Below are 18,182 nucleotides of genomic sequence, written 5' to 3' on the forward strand. Positions count from 1 at the left end.
AAAAAAAAAAAATACAAAAATTAGCCAGGCGTGGTGGCGCATGTCTGTAATCCTAGCTACCCTGGAGGCTGAGGCATGAGAATCGCTTGAACCCAGGAGGCAGAGGTTGCAGTGAGCCAAGATCGCACCACTGCACTCCAGCCTGGGTGACAGAGTGAGACTCTGTTTCCAGACAAAAGCAAAAACAAAAAACAAAAATTAGCTGGGCGTGGTGGCACATGCTTGTAATCCCAGGTAGTAGGGAGGCTAAGGCACACGAATTGCTTGAGCCCGGGAGGTGGAGGTTGCAGTGAGCCGAGATCGCACCACTGCACTCCAGCCTGGGCGACAGAGGAAGACTGTTTCAAAAAACAAAAACGAAACAAAACAAACCTAACCAAAAACAAATCCACAAACAAGCCAGAACTTGGGGTGCCAGGTGTAGGGAGGGGGGCTGTGTCAGGGCCACACATGGCTTTTGCCCTTGGGGGTTCATCAGGTATAGGGAGGGGCTGTGTCAGGGCCACACGTGGCTTTTGCCCTTGGGGGTTCATGGGAGGAGTCTTTTCACAGAGGGAGGAGCATGTGCCAAGGCCCTGGGGCAGGGAAGTCTGCTGGTGTGAGCAGAGCAGGGGGTGCAGAGAGGAGGGGATGAGGCTCAGAGGGAACAAGGGGCTGAGTTGGCTCTGGGAGGGTCTTGCATTTTCTGAGTGAGGTGGGACCTTGGGAGGTTCTGAGTGGAGTGTGATCTGCCTCAGCTCAGCTGCTACGTGAAGACGGGGCTGTGCGGGGCAGGAGGGACGGGCAGTCCCCTGCCAGAAGGCAGGGGGCTCTGCTTCTGCCGCGGCGGGAGCCTGGCCAAGGTTTGCTCTCAGACCCCATCTGGCTGCCCCAGGAGTCTCCCTGGTCTCTCTCTGGGAGGCCTGGGCCCCTGGGAGGTGCCGCCTCAGGGAACCCTGGTTTTGCTGCCCTGTGAGTCAGGTCTCTAGGCTTCACCCATAGCCCCGACCCCACGGCTGCCTGGGGCCTCTGGGGAAGGGGAGGGTGGAGTGGCCGCCAGGCTGGCGGGCTGGCAGGGCTGCATTTCTGGGAATTGTGTGGGGGAAGTGCATTGTTAGAGCAAGCCTGGAGCAGGCCGCCAGGGCCGCCACTGGCCTCTGGGGATGCCTCTTGCCTCCCCCAGCGTTGCTTCTGTGGGAGGGAGCTGGGACTGGGCCAAGGCTATGGGCTGGGCTGGGGACTTTCCGAGAGACGCTGCCCTGGGCAGGTGGCTCTTCCCATTCTACAGACTGGGCGACTGAGGTCCAGAGAGCCGGGTGCTGCAGTGGCATAGCCAGGAGCAGTGGGCCCAGTCCCCATCCCCTGCCCTCCTCTGCTGGCGCATGGGACAGGGGAGCACTTGCTGGACCTAAGCCCCGTCGCTGCCCTGCTGGTGGGGGCATCCAAGGGAGGCCTGGGTGGGGTCCACTGGGGTCACAGCTCGGCAGAGCCCCCAAGGTGGGCTGGAGGGTCTGATGGAAAGGGGCGCAGAGACGGCTCCTAGGTGCTTGGGCTGTGGGAGGGCTGCCCATGGGGTGGCAGGGGGTGGGGGCTCCTGGGGCTGCAGGATCCCCAGCCCCCGCTCTGTGGTTGCAGGAAGCAAGGGGGGCTCCGTGTGAGTTTGGCAGCGGGAGCCTTCCCACCACGGCGCTGCCTCAGCCAGAGGGGAAGCATGGATAGCGGCCACTGGGGTCATGGCCGGCTTTGGGCGGGCAGGGGGCAGGGGACACAAATAGAAAAATAAATGGCCTGAGTTTCCGACGTTTCCTGGACTCAGGATGGGGGAGGGGCAGGCCTTTGGGCCAAAGGTGCGGCTGGCCCTGTGGGGTGGACCAGGGGTTTCTCCCCAGACGCCTGTTGGGGCCAGGGCTGCCCCCTCAGACCTCCAAGGTGGGTCACATCTCCCCCTTAGAGCCCTCAGGACAGGGCCCCGTTGCCCACAGAGAATTCCTAAAGGCCTATCCATATGTCCCTGTCCATAAAGACGTCGAGTGTGGAGGACACCCTGGAGGAGGAGATGGAACCCTCCTGTTTGCTGGGGCTCGGCCCCCGGTGAGGCTGGCTGCAGGTGACCACAGAGACCTAGCCTGGTGTCGTGCGGCCGCTGGGTCCGTGAAGGGGAGTGAGGCACTCCTCACCCTGTGGCAGCTCCTAGTCAGGAGGCCTCTCCCCTCCACCTGCACGTCATGTGGCTGTGGCTCCCAGGACCAGCGCCTGGAGCGGGTGAGTGAACGTCCCTCTCCTCCGTGGGCACTGCCTCCGCTGTGAGCCACCCTTCAGGCTACGTGCATTTCCGCCTGTTCTCAGGGTTTAACCGAAACCGAACATTAACCGTAGCCCTAACGCGGCTGAGGGATCCAGGCCTTGCCTCTGGGCCGGGTGAGAGACAGACACTCGCCAACCAGTCCGCAGTGGCTCCCCGTGTGTGCGAGGCTCCCGCCTGCGTGTGTGCGTGTGCATGTGTGCCTGCGCACAGGGGAGGGAAAGTTCTTCAGCTGCCGAGGGCGGGAGTAGGGGCTGGAGCAGCACCCTGCGGCGAGGCCCCACAGGAGAATCGATGGTTCTGATGCTGTCAGCCTCTGGGTGCAAATTCTGAGGGCCCGGGAGCGTCTGGCGGCCCTGAGCAGCTTGCTGGGGAAGCTCCGTGGAGGAGGAAGTCCGGAGGTCGGTAAGCTCCAGGAGGGGTCTGCTGGGGGGCGAGAATGCTCTGAGCAAGGTCCCAGAAGTCCAGAGCTCCTGAGGGACCCGGGACCAGGGGCACTGGGGAGTTTCAGGGTTGGTCGCCGCCACAGCCCTCACAAACGAGGCCACTCTCTAGGACTGGCCACCTTCTCACCTCGGCCACTTCACAGTCCTGGGGGGCAGCTGTGGCTCTTGCTGGGAACCACCTGGACCTCCCTGGGGCTTGGGGGTGGGGTGGTGGTGAAGTGAGGCCCACCCGTCCGTGGCTCACTCCTGCCACCTAGAGGCCACTGTTCCTCACAGGCTCTGGGGCCAGTCACCTGCCTCTGCCCGGGGGCGGGACCATCCCACCGGATTGCAGGTTCCCTGATCACCAGGATGGGCCTACACCTCTCCGCCTGCAGTAGTTGCTTCCACGCAGGACTAGAGCATGTCAGGGTTCGGGGCTCCTGTCATAGCGGAGTGGCTGCGGCCCGCAGGTCAGAGGCACCCGACCTCTTCTGCTAACCCCCTTCCCTGCCTGTCCCGTCCGCTCCTTTCTCTCCATCACCTGCCCCTGCCATGAACCAGGCCACCAGTGACCCCATCCACACCTGTCCGACCAGGCTCCCCACGTGCCCTAATGCAGCCCCGTAGGCTGGGCCCACGGCTGACACCCCTTCCTGAGGGATCCCCGACCTGCCAGCCGTTGTCCTTAAGACGCCACAGCATCTTGACCTCCCCGTCTGCAGCCTCTGTGGGCCTCCACTGGGACCCACTGAGACATGTCAGGCTCCTCACGAGCTCTGTCTTGTGTGGCCATGCCCAGGGCCCCAGGACGTAGAAGACCACCTGGCATCTCATGGAGGAGGAAACAGGGCCCAGAGTGGGACCTCCACTCAGGCTCAGCAAGGGCCGAGTCCCAGTTCCTGGAGTCCTAGTTGAGGCCCCTCCTACACAGAGCACAAGGTGGAATTCACGGGGTCATAAAGGCAGCCAGTTCTACCAACACACAGTTATGCAAATATTTTCTTAAAGTGTGATATCAAAACCCAAGTGCTTCTTTACCAATCTGCTGAACAAGATGTGACTCACTGAACAGCCTCTGCAGTCCCAGCAGCAGCGAGTGTGGGGGTGCGAGGCAGTTCCCATCTGTGCCGGGTCAGCCACGGGCCCAGCTGACCAGATTTGGTTCATGGCCTCGTTCATAACTGAACGAACGACACCTTTCTGCTAGAGGTCGGTATAAAGGAGATGATGGGCCGGGCACGGTGGCTCACACCTGTAATCCCAGCACTTTGGGAGGCCGAGGCGGGTGGATCACCTGAGGTCAGGAGTTTGAGACTAGCCTCACCAATATGATGTAACCTCGTCTCTACTAAAAATACAAACATATTAGCCGGGTGTGGTGGCGCATGCCTGTAATCCCAGCTACTTGGGAGGCTGAGACAAGAGAATTGCTTGAACCTGGGATGCGGAGGTTGCAGTGAGCCAAGATCGTGCCACTGCACTCCAGCCTGGGCAACAAGAGTGAAACTCTGTCTCAAAAAAAAAAAAAAAAAAAAAAGGAGATGATGGTTTCTTCCCACCAGTTTATTTTCTGTCAGGGGTTTGGTCTCTGGGTCTCTGACCCCCTGGATTGTTGAGACGCCTCGCACTGTTCCCTCCCATCTTGCCCGACCGCCCCCCACCAGCTCCCAGGCCCAGTATGTCTCTGTCCCACCCCATCGTCTCTATAGGCCCTGTCCTGCAGTGGGTTCTGTCCCTCCCTGCAGCTTGGTAAGGTTGTTGAGGCTTCAATACACACTCCAGACCACATCCCTCTCCCTCCCAACTCTGGGACACTCTCTGCACCTCTGAAAAGAAACTCCCAGCCCTTCTTGTGCCTCTCCCTTCCTCTGGGCACCCCTTGTTCCTTATCCATCCTGGCTGGCCTGTGGCCTGTACTTCTGATCTGCACACAGGTATCACAGAGGACAGAGACCCCAGGGCCCCAGCCCCTGGTGGGGGCGGGGAGTGCAAGGGGGCAGTCGTCTTTGTTCTCGACCAGCTCCCAGCTCCCTAGGTAATGCTTTAAGAGTTACCGTGCTAGGGGATCTTTGTGGCTGAAAACATTCAGATGAACCAGATATTTAAAAGCATCCCTCATGCAAAGTCCCTCCACTGGTTGGGCCGGCCTGGGGAGGGTCAAGGCTGGGTCTCTAGTCTGGTTTTCCGGGGGCGTCTGTGTGCACTCCTTCCCCAGAACCTTGCGCTTGTCCATCCCAGGGAGAAATCAGGTGGGGAGCGGCCTCACTGCTGGCTCCTTGATAGTGACTTGCTCCAGAGGTCCGTGCTGATACCCCAGACCCCGCCCCACCAACACTTCAACTGGGACTGCGGCGTATGCACAACTGCACAGCCTCCTCTGGCAGCTCCTTGATGCTTCTGGGACGTTGACCCTCTCTCCTTTGCACCTCCACTCTTAGGAACTTGCAGCTCTCTGGGGTTAGTTCTCCTCTGTGCTGTCTGGGCTGCACCTCCTGCCCAGGAGGGGCCTCTCTGTGCTGCAGCCCTTACCAGCATCTCAGGATCTGCAGTCCTGATACTTGGAGGTCTCCCCCCCACCCCCAGCTTGAGGGCTGGCTTCCTTTCGGTGGTCTTCAAATCAACTCACACTCGGCCGTTGGAGAAGCCTATGTGTCTGGCCAGGCAGGCTCCATGGATGTGGCCAGTGTCTTTGTGGACGGTGGGAACCAGCTTTGAAACCCTGGCCGCCCGGACCTCCGAAGCCAAACTTTCTGGGGTTCCTGCACAAGGGCAGTTCCAGTGTGGCTTCTACAGGACCCTGACCAGCTCCTTGGTCTGGCTGTCAGCCATTGAGACAGTGGTTGAAGGCTGGGTGGCTCTAGCCTCCCCTCGTGCCTCTGATGAGGCTGGACCCTTCAAGTCTTCATATATGCCCAAACCATGGGATTCTGACCACGAGGACTTGCTTGGATGGTCTAGGCTGGAAGCTATGTCCCCAGCTCACTGTGAGGGGCAGAATCAGTCAGTATGGAAACCGTGTTCATCTATTAATAATAATAATAATATAATATCGCGGGGCCTCTGTCTTAGAAAGGCTTTGCTCCTCACAAGGAATTCTATGCTTTTTCCCTATGATTGAGCTTTTTTTTTTTGCGACGAGTCTCACTCTGTTGCCAGGCTGGAGTGCAGTGGCATGATCTCGGCTCACTGCCAGCTCCGCCTCCCGGATTCAAGCGATTCTCCTGCCTCAGCCTCCTGAGTAGTTGGGACTACAGGCGCATGCCGCCATGCCCGGCTAATTTTTTTTTGTTTTTTTGTATTTTAGTAGAGACGGGGTTTCACCCTGTTGCCCAGGCTGGTCTCAAACTCCTGAGCTCAGGCAGTCCACCTCCCAAAGTGCTAGGATTACAAGCATGAGCCACCGCGCCCAGCCTGAGTCTTTTTTTTTTTTTTTTTTTTTTTGGAGACAGTCTCACTCTGTCACCCAGGCTGGAGTGCAGTGGCACAATCTGGGCTCACTGCAACCTCCGCCTCCTGGGTTCAAGTGATTCTCCTGCCTCAGCCTCACAAGTAGCTGGGATTACAGGCATGTGCCACCACGCCCGGCTAATTTTTTTTTTGTTGTTGTTTGTTTTTGAGATGGAGTCTTGCTCTGTTGCCCAGGCTGGAGTGCAGTGGCATGATCGCCGCTCACTGCAAGCTCCGCCTCCTGGGTTCATGCCATTCTTCTGCCTCAGCCTGCGGAGTAGCTGGGACTACAGGCGTCCGCCACCACGCCCGGCTAATTTTTTGTATTTTTAGTAGAGATGGGGTTTCACCGTGTTAGCCAGTATGGTCTCGATCTCCTGACCTCGTGATCCGTCTGCCTTGGCCTCCCAAAGTGCTGGGATTACAGGCATGAGCCACCATGCCCGGTCTAATTTTTGTATTTCTAGCAGAGACAGGGTTTCACCATGTTGGCCAGGCTGGTCTGGAACTCCTGACCTCAGATAATCCGCCCACCTCAGCCTCCCAAAGTGGTGGGATTACAGGGGTGAGCTACTGTGCCCAACCAAGATGAGTCTCTCTCTCTCTTTTTTTTTCTTTTGAGACGGAGTCTCGCTGTTGTTGGCCAGGGCTGGAGTGCAATGGTGCTATCTTGGCTCACTGCAACCTCCGCCTTCCGGGTTCCAGCAATTCTCCTGCCTTAGCCTCCCAAGTAGCTGAGATTACAGGTGCCCGGCACCACACCTGGCTAGTTTTTGTATTCTTTGTAGAGACGGGGTTTCACCATATTGGCCAGGCTGGTCTCGAACTCCTGACCTCAGGTGATCCACCCGCCTGGGCCTCCCAAAGCGCTGGGATTACAGGCATGAGCCACTATTGCCCGGCTAAGATGAGTCTCTTAACTGACCATATTTTCCTTTTCATTTTGGCTGCGGGGAAGCTCAGTTATATGTGATTAGTGCCACAGACAGCCCAAGAAATGCTCAGCCCATTCCACCTGCCACCTGGCCTCATAGTTCGTTGGCCTGAACTTGAATGACTACAGGCTCCTTGATCCACACCCTCCCCCAGGATTGTGCCCTCTCCAGGAAACCACCCAGCATCTGCATTACTGGGGAGCTGCCAGGCAGTGGTGGGGATGCTGGCCCTGCACCTGTCCCCGTCCTCAACCCTCCCTAGGCCTGGGCCATCTCTCTGGCTGCCTGCAGTCTGGCCCTACCTAGGGACCTCCAACAACAATGTCAATGAACACTAATTGTCATGCTCCATCCCCTCTCTGTTCTCAGGCATGTGATGTGAATCAGCTGACATCATCTTGACGGGAGCCCTGTGAGGCGGACACTTAACTCCAGTTTCACAGGTGGGGAGACTGAGACACAGTGGTCAACGTGCAGAGCCCAGAATCTGCTCCCTGGTAGCTGACTTTGCAGGCAGGGGCCTTGCCCACGCAGCCTCGGCAGAGGCCCCCGCACTTCGCGAACCCCAGCAATGGCCCCTTCCAGACGCCACGTCCAGCTACCGCGCGCTCACACCTGCAGGGCCCCACAAGAGGCCTCCCAGTGTGCGCGGGCCTCTTGAAGAAGTAACTCTACTCAGAAGCCCGAATGACCCAAACTGGGCTCTGGGAGGCTGGGGACGGCCTTCTAGGCCAAGTGGGGCGCGCGCAGGGCTCAGCGGGGCCCAAGAGAAGGGCTGAGGGCACTGGGTCCTGAGCCACCCACCGAAGGACGCCGCGGGACAGCAAGGCCCGAAGCAGGAGGAGAGAAGGGAGCAGATTCCTGGGCCTCCTGGGGCCCGGTCGCTCCGGGATGTCTGAGCTCTGGGAGGGGCGTGCCCGGGGCGCCTCCCTCGCGGGGTATTGTGGGATCACGAGTCACTGGCGACGGTGGGTCAGGACTACACTTCCCAGGAGGCTGTGCGCGCCGCGTGGCGCCTGGGAGTTGTGGTCCAGAGCGCGGGCGCGGCGGGCGCGGCAGGCGGGCGCGTGGACTACGCATCCTAGGATGCCGCGCGCGGCCGCGGGGCCGAGGGTTTGAACCGGGGGTCTGTCGTCCGCGGCGGGGCTGCGTCGGCTGCGGCGGGTGTGGGAGGTGGCGACGGCCGGGGCCGGGGTCCTGCCCGGCTGCGGAGGCGGGCGCGACGGGCGCGGGGGTCGCTGCTCCTGAGGCGATGATGGGCAAGGAAGAGGAGATTGCGCGGATCGCCCGGAGGCTGGACAAGATGGTGACCAAGAAGAGCGCGGTGAGGGGCGCGGGCCGCCAGGACCCCGGGAACCCCGCCCCGCCGAGACCCCGTCGAGCCCGCCGACCCCCGTTAGGGCCGGAAGACGACCTGAGGGGCAGGACGAGACCCCTCCCCGGCAGAGACTAACCGGGACGCAGGGGAGACCCCCACCCGTGGCCGAGACCCCTGCCCCGGGCCAGCCCTGCCGTTCACTCCCGCAACCCCGGCAGAGGCCGCGATCAGGCCTGGACCTTGTCCCGGGAGAGCCACCCGCTCTGGACTCAGACCCCTCCCTCGCCCGCAGTCACAGGCTCCGCACCCTTCCCTGTCCCTTAACTCCAGACCCCCAGCCTGGCCCGTCGACTCCTTCCTTGGCCCTGTCCCGCCTCTCGGAGCCCCCGGGGTGTTCGGGCCTCCTCTGCGGGCCGCGCCAGCCCCTTGCCTTCCTCCATCCCGGCCTGGGCATCCTCACAGGCCGAGCCCCGCCCCCCAACTCAGCCCTCTCCCACGCTCCGTCTCTTACAGCGTTTGTCACCCTCCGTCTCCCATAGCATTTGTCGCCGGCAACAGTTTGGAGTCTGAGGTTGGATCCCCTTTTCTTCTGGAGCTTCCGTGCCTCCCCTGCCTCTTCCCAGCCCTTGTCATCCTCCTTCACAGGCCAGCCAGATACCTGTCTTGCCTGTGGGCCCATTTTCTTCCCTGTCTGTCCCCACCCCACAAGAACCAGGTTTCTCTAATAAATTCTCTCCCTTCTTTAGCCAGGACTTAGCCCGCAGCAACTTGGGTTGTGGGTAGTTATGTGGACACCCTCCGAAAAGAGCCGGTGTGCTTATATAAGAGCCAGGAGGTCGGGCAAGCCTCCTCTGGGAGTGTCTGGGCGCTGGAGCCTCTGGCCGGCTCTGTTCACTGCGGCCTGGGCCTCTGTTGTCTTGCGGCCACAGCGAGACTTTGGAGGAGGCTGTGTGTGAGGACTTTGAAGGGGCCAGGTCAGTGGGGGTCCAGTTCCAGCGTCATGACCTTGGCAACCTCTGCACCCTCCCACAGAAGCATCTTTAGAGGATGCTGCCTGCCTCCTGGGGGGTGGGGAGGGGTCTGGCCGCAGGTCATTTGGAGCTCCTGGCTGGCTCAATAAACGTGACCTGTGCTTTCCCACCCAGACTGTGAACTCCTGGGGCAGGGCCAGCTGTGTGTCTGCCAGGCCAGCCCAGGGCGGTGAAGGTGGCTGAGTCATGGGCTTTGGGTGATTTGTGCAGCCACCCCAGGGCTGTGTGACTGCAGTGGGGGTTTGGGGGAAGCTTTTTGGGCTGAGCAGGGTTGAGTCTGGGTTCCTGTGACCAGCGTTCTGGACTGGGGTCTGCCCTGGGAAGGGGTGGGCTCCCACTCATTCCTGCTGGGTGCAGCACCCCCATCATTGCGTTCACACACACCCCGGAAAACTGGTCAGCACAAAGTAGGGGTCTGCGAACCATTCATAGCTGTTTCCAGAGATGACCCGAGAATGGAGTTGTTCCCCTTCTTAAAGGAGACAAAACACAAACGATAAAAGCTGTAGGTGGGAGAAGCAAAGATGGGTCATGGAGCCAGGGGAGGGCTGGGTGGGGCTGGGCAGAACTGATGGGGGGTTTCTGGTGGAAGAACAGCTTGAGTAGAAGCCCCAGGGGAGAATGAGGAGGGGAGGCGGGCGCTGTGCAGTGGGGAGTGGGAGCCAGCAGAGCCTCCTGGGGGTCCCAGTGCCTGAGGTCCCCTCGGGGACCTGGGGGCCAGGTGTGGGGGTTTTTTTGCCTCTGGACCTGAGCCCACTGAGAGCCACGTAAGCAGGTGCAGGGCTTTCAGGGGACAGTGGCCTTGGCTCTGGCTATCACCTCAAGGCTGGACTCTGTACAGCCCAAGAGGCAGGGCCTGCCTGGGAGGGCTCAGGAGGGGCTGCAGCGTGAGCAGACTATGCCACCCGGATTGCTGGGGTTGTGCGGGCGGTAGGTGGGACAAGCCCCTCCCATGGCCTGTGGGTCGTGGGACTCTGATCAGGTCACCTTAGGGCAGAGGGAATGATACACACGTGGAAACACATGCACGTGTTACAGAGGAGATGGGGTGTTGCAGGGCACAGTTGCAGTTTTAAACAGGAGAGGCCTTGCTGAGAAGGTGTTGTTGAAATAAAGCCCGGGAGGGAGGGAGGGAGGGAGGGAGACGTTGTGGGAGGCCGCCCCAGGCGGTGGAGCTGCAGGTGCAGAGGGCCTCGGTGGCGGCTCAGCGCCCTTGGGGAGCACTGAGTTGCCGGGCCTGGTGTGGAAATGTGACCGGTTTGTGCCTGGCCTCGTCAGTGTTGAGGACCTGGAGGAAACGCAGATCTTGGGTGGGGAGACAAGGCGGAGAGAACGAGGTGCATTGGAACAGTCCAGGCGAGGGGTGCTGGCCTGCTTGGGGGCAACTCAGAGGCCTGGAGGATAGATGAGGAGGGGGGCTGTGGGCCTTGTAGGTGTTGGCTGTGGCCGTGCCTGGAGTGGAGGGACCCTTGAAAGTTTGGCCTCAGCTCGGGACACTGATGTTCCCGGGTTGGCCCTTCATGAGAGTTTGGCCTCAGCTCGGGACACTGATGTTCCTGGGTTGGCCCTTCACAGCTGGTGGGCGGGGGGTGCTTTGGGGAGAGGCTGCCCTGCGCATCAGGGCATCAAGACACAGGGGAGTGAATGAACCTGGGGCTGCAGTTTCACCTGGGTGTGGCCCTGGCTGCTGGGGAGGGGCCGTGGCTCTGAAGCCTCATGATTGGCCAGGGGAGCTGGCATTTCTGTTCTGGTTTGGGTCAGTGACCTGAGGTGGTTACAACGAAGTCAGTGAGGTCATTGCCACGGATGTGGGTTACAACTTGGAATGCTTGAGGCTGCAGAACCCCTCCCCTTCTTGACTGAGCAGTAAGGGTTCCCTGCTGTGGTGCAGGAACATGTGGGCAGAGCCCTGGGTGTCTCCAGGTAGAGGAATTTTGGTTTCTTTTTGACCCCAGGTTGAATCTCCAAATTGTCACTGCCTTGTGTTCTCCTCCAGTAGGCAGAAGGAGGTGATATTGTCTGTTGAGATCTAAAGTCCTTTATGAAGGTCCTCCTTCTCCTTCCAGGAGGGAGCCATGGATTTGCTGCGGGAGCTGAAGGCCATGCCTATCACGCTGCACCTGCTCCAGGTAGGTCCCTGCCTGCCCCAGGTCCAGGACAGCTCCTGGGTGCAGCCCAGGGGATGGCAGTTCTGAGGGCACCTGGCAGGGCTTCCCCACCCTCCCCACCAGGCCTTAGTTGGCACAAATGCCTGTTCCTGAGGAGAGGGTCTCTGCCTTTCTCTGGGCTCAGTGGGACAGGGAGGGGAGTCTGAGGATAACCCATCTTGTCCTCCGTGGCTGAGGCTCCTGGGTTCCAAATGGGACAGTCGCCATTGGGAGAGGCCTCTACCTCCCTGGGAGGTCCCGGGCTCCTGTCCTGTGGGGGCCACCAAGGCTCTGCCAGGAGAATCTGACCCCTAGGGTGGGCCCCTGCCTCCCCCAACCCAGACCACTTGCCTCGTAGTCCACCCGAGTCGGGATGTCTGTCAACGCCCTTCGGAAGCAGAGCTCGGATGAGGAGGTCATTGCACTGGCCAAGTCTCTCATCAAGTCCTGGAAGAAGCTCCTGGGTGCGGCTCAGGCGGTGCCCACTGAGTGCTGGGGCAGGGGTCCCAGAAGTGCTGCCTCTTGCTGGTCAGCACAGTGTAGAGTGCTGGCAGTGTCCACCCTGAGCCAGGTCGCTTGGGAGTGGGGCAGTGGCAAACCCAGACCATGAAGCGCCCAGCTTGGGGCTGGCAGTGGATCAGTGGGTGCCTGTCAGCATTGGCTGGGAGGTGTGGCCTAGGAGGCCAGGGTGTGTGCTGGGGGCAGGGTTCCAGGTAGAACAAGGAGAGAAGAGAGTTGAGGCCAGGACTTGAACTGACAGCACTGAGAGACTGGGGTGAGTTGGGAGGTCACACAGAGGGGAAGGTCATGGCCAGGAGGCTGGGAAGTGCCGGGAGAGGGGAAGCGGGAGGGAGAAGGCAGGGCCACCTCAGCTACTCAGAGGGAACAGAGGGGCAGCCCCCTGCCAGGGAAGGGAAGGGCTGGGCTGGGCTGGGCTGGACTGAAGGCTGCCTCTTCCTGGAGACAGTGGGGTGACTGGGGTTGCAAAGATGCTGCTGTCTGGGATGGAGGCAACCCTCCTAGCTCTGTCCACACCCTTGTGAAACAGTCTCTCTCCAGCCCTGTGTGGCCCTCAGGCTGTGCATGGCACAAGCATGTCCTGGTCCCCAGCCCTTGGGCCTGGCTCTGGGCTTTCAGGAAGAGCCTTCTTGGGGACATGCTTGGTCTCTCTGGCCAGGACAGGCAGGAGGGTGGGCCCCAGAGAGGCCCCAGAGGTGGCCTTTGTGAGTGGGTGCTTGTACGGGAAAGGGTTCTGGGGAGGCAGCCTCAGGACTGCAGAGATGGACAGGTTGCTGGGGAGGGTGAGGACCTGTTCACAGAGGCTGGGCAGCCTCCTGGCCCCTGGCTCCCCTGGCTGGGTGAGGGGCTGGGGGCGGGGGCTGGGGCTGGGGCCGTGTTGGTGGTCGGGCTGAGGCTGTACCTTGGTGGTGGTCTGTGCCCCTCCCTCCTCTGCCTCCCCTTGATCAGCCCATCCCCGATCTTTCCTGCAGATGCTTCCGATGCCAAAGCCAGGGAGCGGGGGAGGGGCATGCCTCTGCCCACGTCCTCGAGGGATGCCTCAGAGGCCCCGGATCCCAGGTAGCACACCTGGAAGGCAGGTGCACACACTTCTGCTTCCCAGCCTGTTTCCTTGCCAGAGAAAGGGTGCCAGTCTCCATGTGCCTAGGCACTGCTTTGAGGCTGCACACAGAGTCGGTCAGCCTCATGCTGGACACCAGCCTTGTGGTGTGTCCCGCCTGCACTGACCACTTGAGATGTGGGTCTGTGTCCACCTGGCTGTCAGCCAGCCATCCTGGCCTCTTCCTCTGCCAAGAGCTGCTGTATACCCTGAGTGGGCCTGTGGGAGCCCCCTGGCCTCTTCCCCCAAGGCCCCCTGCTGGGTCTGGTTCTTGCTGGCCCACTCTGGCTTCCCCCTCAGCCTCACTCAACGACGGTCCCTCCTTCCTGCAAAATTCTGCCCAGAACCAAAGGCGGGGGCCAACTCCCCTCCTGCCCTGCATGTGCACGTGTGGTCACTGCTGCCAGGGGGTGATAAGGGCTCTGTGGCCTGCAGCTGGGAGCTGGGGGTGCTTATTGTGGCAGGCTATAGCCGAGAGATGGCTTTGCCCTTGACCACACTGGGTTGTGGTGACTGGGCCACCAGGAGCTCAGGGACACCTTTGCAAGTTGATTTTCCTCCAGGAAGCTGCCTGCTTCTGCCAACTTCCACAGAGGGGATGAGGGGAGGGCTAGGTGGATGCAGCCTGGTCGTTGGGCAGCCCCATGTTGGGGTCCAGCCCTGAGGGGCATCCTTCTCCCATTCTGTACGTGCCCAGGGGTGTCGTCTGTGACAGCAGAACCTGGCCTTGGGCGGCCCCGCCTTGTCTCCCCCCAGACAGCTGTGGGTCTCTCCCTCTCCCTGACCAGGCAGCAGCTGCAGCTGCCCTCAGCAGAGTATTTGTGTTGCGGCCCAGTGGGTGGGCACCCCAGAGGTGGCAGGAACTGCCAGGTTCATTCTGATCGACTGGTAATGCTGCCCAGATGCTGACTGCTGGGTCTGGGATCCTGTTCCCACCTGGAGAGTACACCCTGACCCACTGGGGACCTCATGGCCCTCTCCCTCCTGGCTGCTGGGCACACCCCATGGACATCTGGGCTGGACTCAAGATAGGCAGGGCCACAGGCCACTGTTGGACTCTGGCAGAGTAGAACAAGCAGGGGTTGGTGGGGGATTATGCTGTGGCACCTGCTGCTTCTAGGACCAGTGTCTCGCTGGGGTGCCTGCAGCCTTGAGTCTGAACCCAGCTGGCCCTGGCTCTCTGCAGCCGCAAGAGGCCGGAGCTGCCCAGGGCACCGTCGACTCCGAGGATCACCACATTTCCTCCGGTGCCTGTCACCTGTGATGCCGTGCGCAACAAGTGCCGCGAGATGCTGACCGCTGCCCTGCAGACGGACCGTGAGTGCGGCCGGCCCTGGCTCCTGACACCCGCTGTGGTTCACAGGGTGGCCCGGGCCCCTGCCTGCCCGCAGAGGCCTGCTTCCAGCGGGGTGACTGTCCTCCCCCAGCCCATTGCTGTGGCCCTGGCAGGGGCTAGGGGCCTGTGCCTGGATCGTGGGCCTCTTGCAGGGACCCGGATGTGCCCTCTAAGCTGCCAGGGTGTTTTGCAGGCAGAAGGGGTGGCAGGTGGAGAAACCAGTGGGGGAAGCTAGTCAGGGCTCCCTCTTGCAGATGACCACGTGGCCATCGGTGCGGACTGCGAGCGCCTGTCGGCTCAGATCGAGGAATATATCCTTTGGGTAGGGGCTGTGGGCCTGGGTTTCTGGTGGAGTCAGGAGGCTGCCTGGCCTGGTGCCCTCTGGTGGCTGCTGGATGCCACTGCCCAGCTGTCCAGGGGTCACCTGCCTGGGTGGTCACCTGCCTGGGTGGTCAGGCTGTCTCACCTCAGGAGGGCCCCCGGACCAGCTGAAGGGCTGATTCTGTCTGCTTGTGGGGCCTAGGTCCCCTGGGGCTGTAGCCTGAAGCTGGGTCTCAGTCAGGAATGGGCCTGGGGCAGGCTTGGCCCTGCAGCCCTTCACCTCTCCACCAGGTGTGGGTGGGCAGACCGACCCCTGTGTGGCTGGGCAGAACCTTTCCAGCCCCCACCCCAACATGGCCCCCAGCGGGGCAGGTGGTAGGTGGAGGGCAGCGACGTTGTCCTCAGGTGGGTCCTTAAAACACTTGCACGCATCTTCCGGGACGTTGGAAACACAGACATGAAGTATAAGAACCGTGTACGGAGTCGTATCTCCAACCTGAAGGATGCCAAGAACCCTGACCTGCGGCGGAATGTGCTGTGTGGGGCCATAACACCCCAGCAGATCGCTGTGATGACCTCAGAGGTGAGCCCCTGTTGGAGGGGCTGGAGGGCTGCTCCCTCGGAGCGGTGGGCTAAGCCACTGGCCCCGTGCTCCAGGAGATGGCCAGTGATGAGCTGAAGGAGATCCGTAAGGCCATGACCAAGGAGGCCATCCGAGAGCACCAGATGGCCCGCACTGGCGGCACGCAGACAGACCTGTTCACCTGCGGCAAGTGCAGGAAAAAGAACTGCACCTACACACAGGTGAGCGGCCGCTGGGCACCCTCCCCCGGGCCCGGTGTCTTCAGGGCATCTGGTGCCCCTCCTTGGAGCCCATGCCTATTCCCGCCTCTGCTGCATGAATTTCCCGAGCCTCTCAGTCCCTGAGTAGGCTAAGGCATGATGGCCACCTTCAGGGACCACTCCCCTCTACCCAGGACCTCTGGGCTCCACGGGGCGGCGTCTTGGGTGGTGGGACCCACTTGTTGCGGATACTCAAGTCAGAGGGCCTGGCCTGGCCCAGCCCAGCCTGAACGGAGGGCCCTCGAGGTGTTGATGTTGGTGGGAGGGCCGTGCTGCCTGCTGCCTGGCAGTGACTGCAGGACCCTCAGTCCCTGCCATGGAGGTGGACACTGAGTGTGCTGGGGAGACTGTGGATCCCATGAGATGGCAGGGACCCTGTTAAGAGGGGAGTGCGGCTGGGTGCAGTGGCTCACATCTGTAATCCCAGCACTTTGGGAGGCCGAGGCAGGCGGATAATGAGGTCAGGAGTTCGAGACCAGCCTGACCAACATGGTGAAACCCCGTCTCTACTAAAAATACAAAAATTAGCTGGGCGTGGTGGCGCATGCCTGTAATCCCAGCTACTCAGGAGGCTGAGGCAGGAGAATCACTTGAACCCGGGAGACAGAGGTTGCAGTGAGTCCAGATCGTGCCACTGCTCTCCAGCCTGGGCGACAGAGCGAGACTCCGTCTTTAAAAAAAAAAAAAAGAGGGGAGTGTGTCGAGGCGGCCGCTGCACCTGGCAGATGGGACTCGTGAGGGGCTGCAAGGACAGCCTTTCCTTCCCCTCGAAGGCTGCATGGGGCCTGGGTCGGTGCAGAGCCTGCCTCTCTCCTGCTCCCAGCCACTGGTCAGAACAGGCTCTGCCTGTGGCCGGAGGCTCACCCTTGGGCCTTCCGGAAGGCAGCCGCGGGCACTGGGGACCCCTGCTAGTTCCCCCCACCATTGGGACCCTCTTGCCCTCAGCCAAGTCTGGGCCCTCCTGGTCCCCAGCCAATGTGAGCTGCTTCAGGCTCACACAAGGGCCTCTGCCCCGATAAACTCTGTCTCCCTCCCCCGGAGGCTCAGCTTTGGAAGGTTGGAGTCACGAGGCGGCCTCGGATCAGGTCACCTGTGGGAGCTCAGTGGCTGCGAGGCCCGCACTGCCCATGTTGAGGGGATGCCGTCTGCAGCGGAGCATGGAGGTGACCCTGGGTTCACCCAGCCCTGTTCACAGGTGCAGACCCGCAGCTCTGATGAGCCCATGACCACCTTTGTTGTCTGCAACGAGTGTGGAAACCGCTGGAAGGTGGGTGAGCAGGCTCAGGCTGCCCCTCCCAGCTCCATTCTCTGGAGGTGGGGTGTCTCAGCCTCTGTGGGGTCTGTGGTGTGAACTGGGGATGGCCCTGCCCAACCAGCCTCCTGGGAGTCTTGGGCATGGTGGGTGGAGAGCCCAGCCTTGGGTGAGCCTGTGCGGCCTTCCACTCTGGGGGATCTCATGTGGCCACAAGGCTGGAGGCCTCACCCCCTTTCTCGCAGTTCTGCTGACCCCTCGTGTAGATGTGCTGCAGCCTTGGGCCCTCCCCGGCCCACGTCCTCCGTTGACACAGCTTCTCTGGAGACCCTAGAAGGCGGCATGTCCTGCCCTCAACCTGCCTGCCTGGATTGCACCTTTCTGCCCTTTCCCCCTCATTATTAAATGTTTCTTTTTGCCATCTTGTTCTCCTCAGCCGTTACTCCTGGTGGGCCCCTGTCCCCCATGTTTGACCCGTTTCCACTGCTGTGGACAAGGCCCCTCCCTGGGGTTGGGCAGTGCTTGGGTTTGGCCCTGGTGGGTCAGCCCCAGGAGAGGAGCTTGGCTGACCTTCAGAGATCACCTGGGGCGGCTCTGCCTGTGAGGGCAGGTGGGGAGAGGGTCTTGTGTGCGTCCTGTGCAGGGCAGTGTCCTCCCCAACGCCTCAGGCATGGGCAGCTCGGGACCTCTCGGCACTTCAGGACAGCTTGTCCCCATGCTGCCTTCTCTGTTCTTGTGGGAGTTGTGGTCTCAGGGCCCTGAGCCAATTTCAGCTTCAACTCACTTAACTTCCCAGAAATGCAGGGGATGGGCTGGTGAGCACTCAACTCATGGGGCCTGTGAGATGAGAAAGATGACATTGGGCCTGGCACCAAGTGGCCCCTCCTGCCCCAGCCAGCCTGCCTCTGGGGACCCCGTCCGGCTGGGCCTGGGCGGCACCTCCTGTTGCCTCTCGACTTCTGAGGTGCTGTGGGTCACTGTTCTGGCCCGACTTTCAGCTAAGGAGGCTGAGGCCGAGGGCGTGGAGCTCATGCCCCGGGCAGGGTTAAGCACAGCCACCCACTGGGACCACTGTTCTGAGGAGGGGTCTGGTGGAGGCCAGGGCATGGGAAGAGGGCAAGCACACGGCTGTGTGTCCCCTCCAAGGGGCACTGGAGCCCCTGCCCTGGGACAAGGACACTTCTCCCCAGCCCTGAGTCTGGGGCCACTCATTCTCCAGTCTCTC

At 61.2% G+C, this 18,182-nt stretch overlaps 1 protein-coding gene across 22 annotated transcripts, besides 9 other annotated features; it reads left to right on the forward strand.

Annotated features, from left to right (window-relative positions):
- Window positions 41–730: an enhancer, noted in NCBI's record as "H3K4me1 hESC enhancer chr20:62686363-62687052 (GRCh37/hg19 assembly coordinates)". NCBI's record gives its function as "activates a minimal SCP1, AML or CMV promoter by ChIP-STARR-seq in naive H9 embryonic stem cells {active_cell/tissue: H9 hESC(naive)}" and the evidence as "EXISTENCE:reporter gene assay evidence [ECO:0000049][PMID:30033119]".
- On the forward strand, window positions 627–17,378 carry TCEA2 (transcription elongation factor A2). Of its 22 annotated transcripts, none has more exons than XM_047440433.1 (13): window positions 1,829–1,908; window positions 2,003–3,918; window positions 4,644–4,744; window positions 4,948–5,166; window positions 7,461–7,534; window positions 11,507–11,569; window positions 11,946–12,051; window positions 13,078–13,165; window positions 14,392–14,522; window positions 14,796–14,852; window positions 15,291–15,445; window positions 15,520–15,666; window positions 16,901–17,378. In XM_047440433.1, the coding sequence occupies exons 6-13, from the start codon at window positions 11,516–11,518 to the stop codon at window positions 17,054–17,056; spliced, it is 894 nt and encodes a 297-aa protein (XP_047296389.1). In that variant the 5' UTR covers window positions 1,829–1,908; window positions 2,003–3,918; window positions 4,644–4,744; window positions 4,948–5,166; window positions 7,461–7,534; window positions 11,507–11,515; the 3' UTR covers window positions 17,057–17,378. The 22 variants fall into 22 exon arrangements, with proteins under 22 accessions (XP_047296394.1, XP_024307749.1, XP_047296389.1 ...); XM_024451976.2 differs by having other exon boundaries at window positions 2,003–2,686; XM_047440432.1 differs by having other exon boundaries at window positions 2,003–4,744.
- Window positions 731–1,420: an enhancer, noted in NCBI's record as "H3K4me1 hESC enhancer chr20:62687053-62687742 (GRCh37/hg19 assembly coordinates)". NCBI's record gives its function as "activates a minimal SCP1, AML or CMV promoter by ChIP-STARR-seq in naive H9 embryonic stem cells {active_cell/tissue: H9 hESC(naive)}" and the evidence as "EXISTENCE:reporter gene assay evidence [ECO:0000049][PMID:30033119]".
- Window positions 2,111–2,800: an enhancer, noted in NCBI's record as "H3K27ac-H3K4me1 hESC enhancer chr20:62688433-62689122 (GRCh37/hg19 assembly coordinates)". NCBI's record gives its function as "activates a minimal SCP1, AML or CMV promoter by ChIP-STARR-seq in naive H9 embryonic stem cells {active_cell/tissue: H9 hESC(naive)}" and the evidence as "EXISTENCE:reporter gene assay evidence [ECO:0000049][PMID:30033119]".
- Window positions 2,801–3,488: an enhancer, noted in NCBI's record as "H3K27ac-H3K4me1 hESC enhancer chr20:62689123-62689810 (GRCh37/hg19 assembly coordinates)". NCBI's record gives its function as "activates a minimal SCP1, AML or CMV promoter by ChIP-STARR-seq in naive and primed H9 embryonic stem cells {active_cell/tissue: H9 hESC(naive and primed)}" and the evidence as "EXISTENCE:reporter gene assay evidence [ECO:0000049][PMID:30033119]".
- Window positions 7,610–7,739: an enhancer, noted in NCBI's record as "active region_18262". NCBI's record gives its function as "activates an Ori minimal core promoter by ATAC-STARR-seq in GM12878 lymphoblastoid cells {active_cell/tissue: GM12878}" and the evidence as "EXISTENCE:reporter gene assay evidence [ECO:0000049][PMID:35858748]".
- Window positions 7,750–7,799: an enhancer, noted in NCBI's record as "active region_18263". NCBI's record gives its function as "activates an Ori minimal core promoter by ATAC-STARR-seq in GM12878 lymphoblastoid cells {active_cell/tissue: GM12878}" and the evidence as "EXISTENCE:reporter gene assay evidence [ECO:0000049][PMID:35858748]".
- Window positions 8,130–8,489: a silencer, noted in NCBI's record as "silent region_13205". NCBI's record gives its function as "represses an Ori minimal core promoter by ATAC-STARR-seq in GM12878 lymphoblastoid cells {active_cell/tissue: GM12878}" and the evidence as "EXISTENCE:reporter gene assay evidence [ECO:0000049][PMID:35858748]".
- Window positions 10,826–10,875: an enhancer, noted in NCBI's record as "active region_18264". NCBI's record gives its function as "activates an Ori minimal core promoter by ATAC-STARR-seq in GM12878 lymphoblastoid cells {active_cell/tissue: GM12878}" and the evidence as "EXISTENCE:reporter gene assay evidence [ECO:0000049][PMID:35858748]".
- Window positions 11,076–11,175: a silencer, noted in NCBI's record as "silent region_13206". NCBI's record gives its function as "represses an Ori minimal core promoter by ATAC-STARR-seq in GM12878 lymphoblastoid cells {active_cell/tissue: GM12878}" and the evidence as "EXISTENCE:reporter gene assay evidence [ECO:0000049][PMID:35858748]".
- Window positions 17,379–18,182: the final 804 nt, after the last annotated feature.

Source organism: Homo sapiens, chromosome 20, assembly GCF_000001405.40.
Source record: "Homo sapiens chromosome 20, GRCh38.p14 Primary Assembly".
Classification (NCBI taxonomy): domain Eukaryota; kingdom Metazoa; phylum Chordata; class Mammalia; order Primates; family Hominidae; genus Homo; species Homo sapiens.

Bases quoted from the DNA above. Each gene is read 5' to 3' on its own strand.
- TCEA2 (XM_005260229.5), top strand. From the start codon at position 8,344: ATGATGGGCAAGGAAGAGGAGATTGCGCGGATCGCCCGGAGGCTGGAC. The intron at 14,523-14,795 runs GTGAGTGCGGCC...TCCCTCTTGCAG, and splicing joins CGCTGCCCTGCAGACGGACC to ATGACCACGTGGCCATCGGT. The intron at 14,853-15,290 runs ATATCCTTTGGG...AAACACTTGCAC, and splicing joins GTCGGCTCAGATCGAGGAAT to GCATCTTCCGGGACGTTGGA.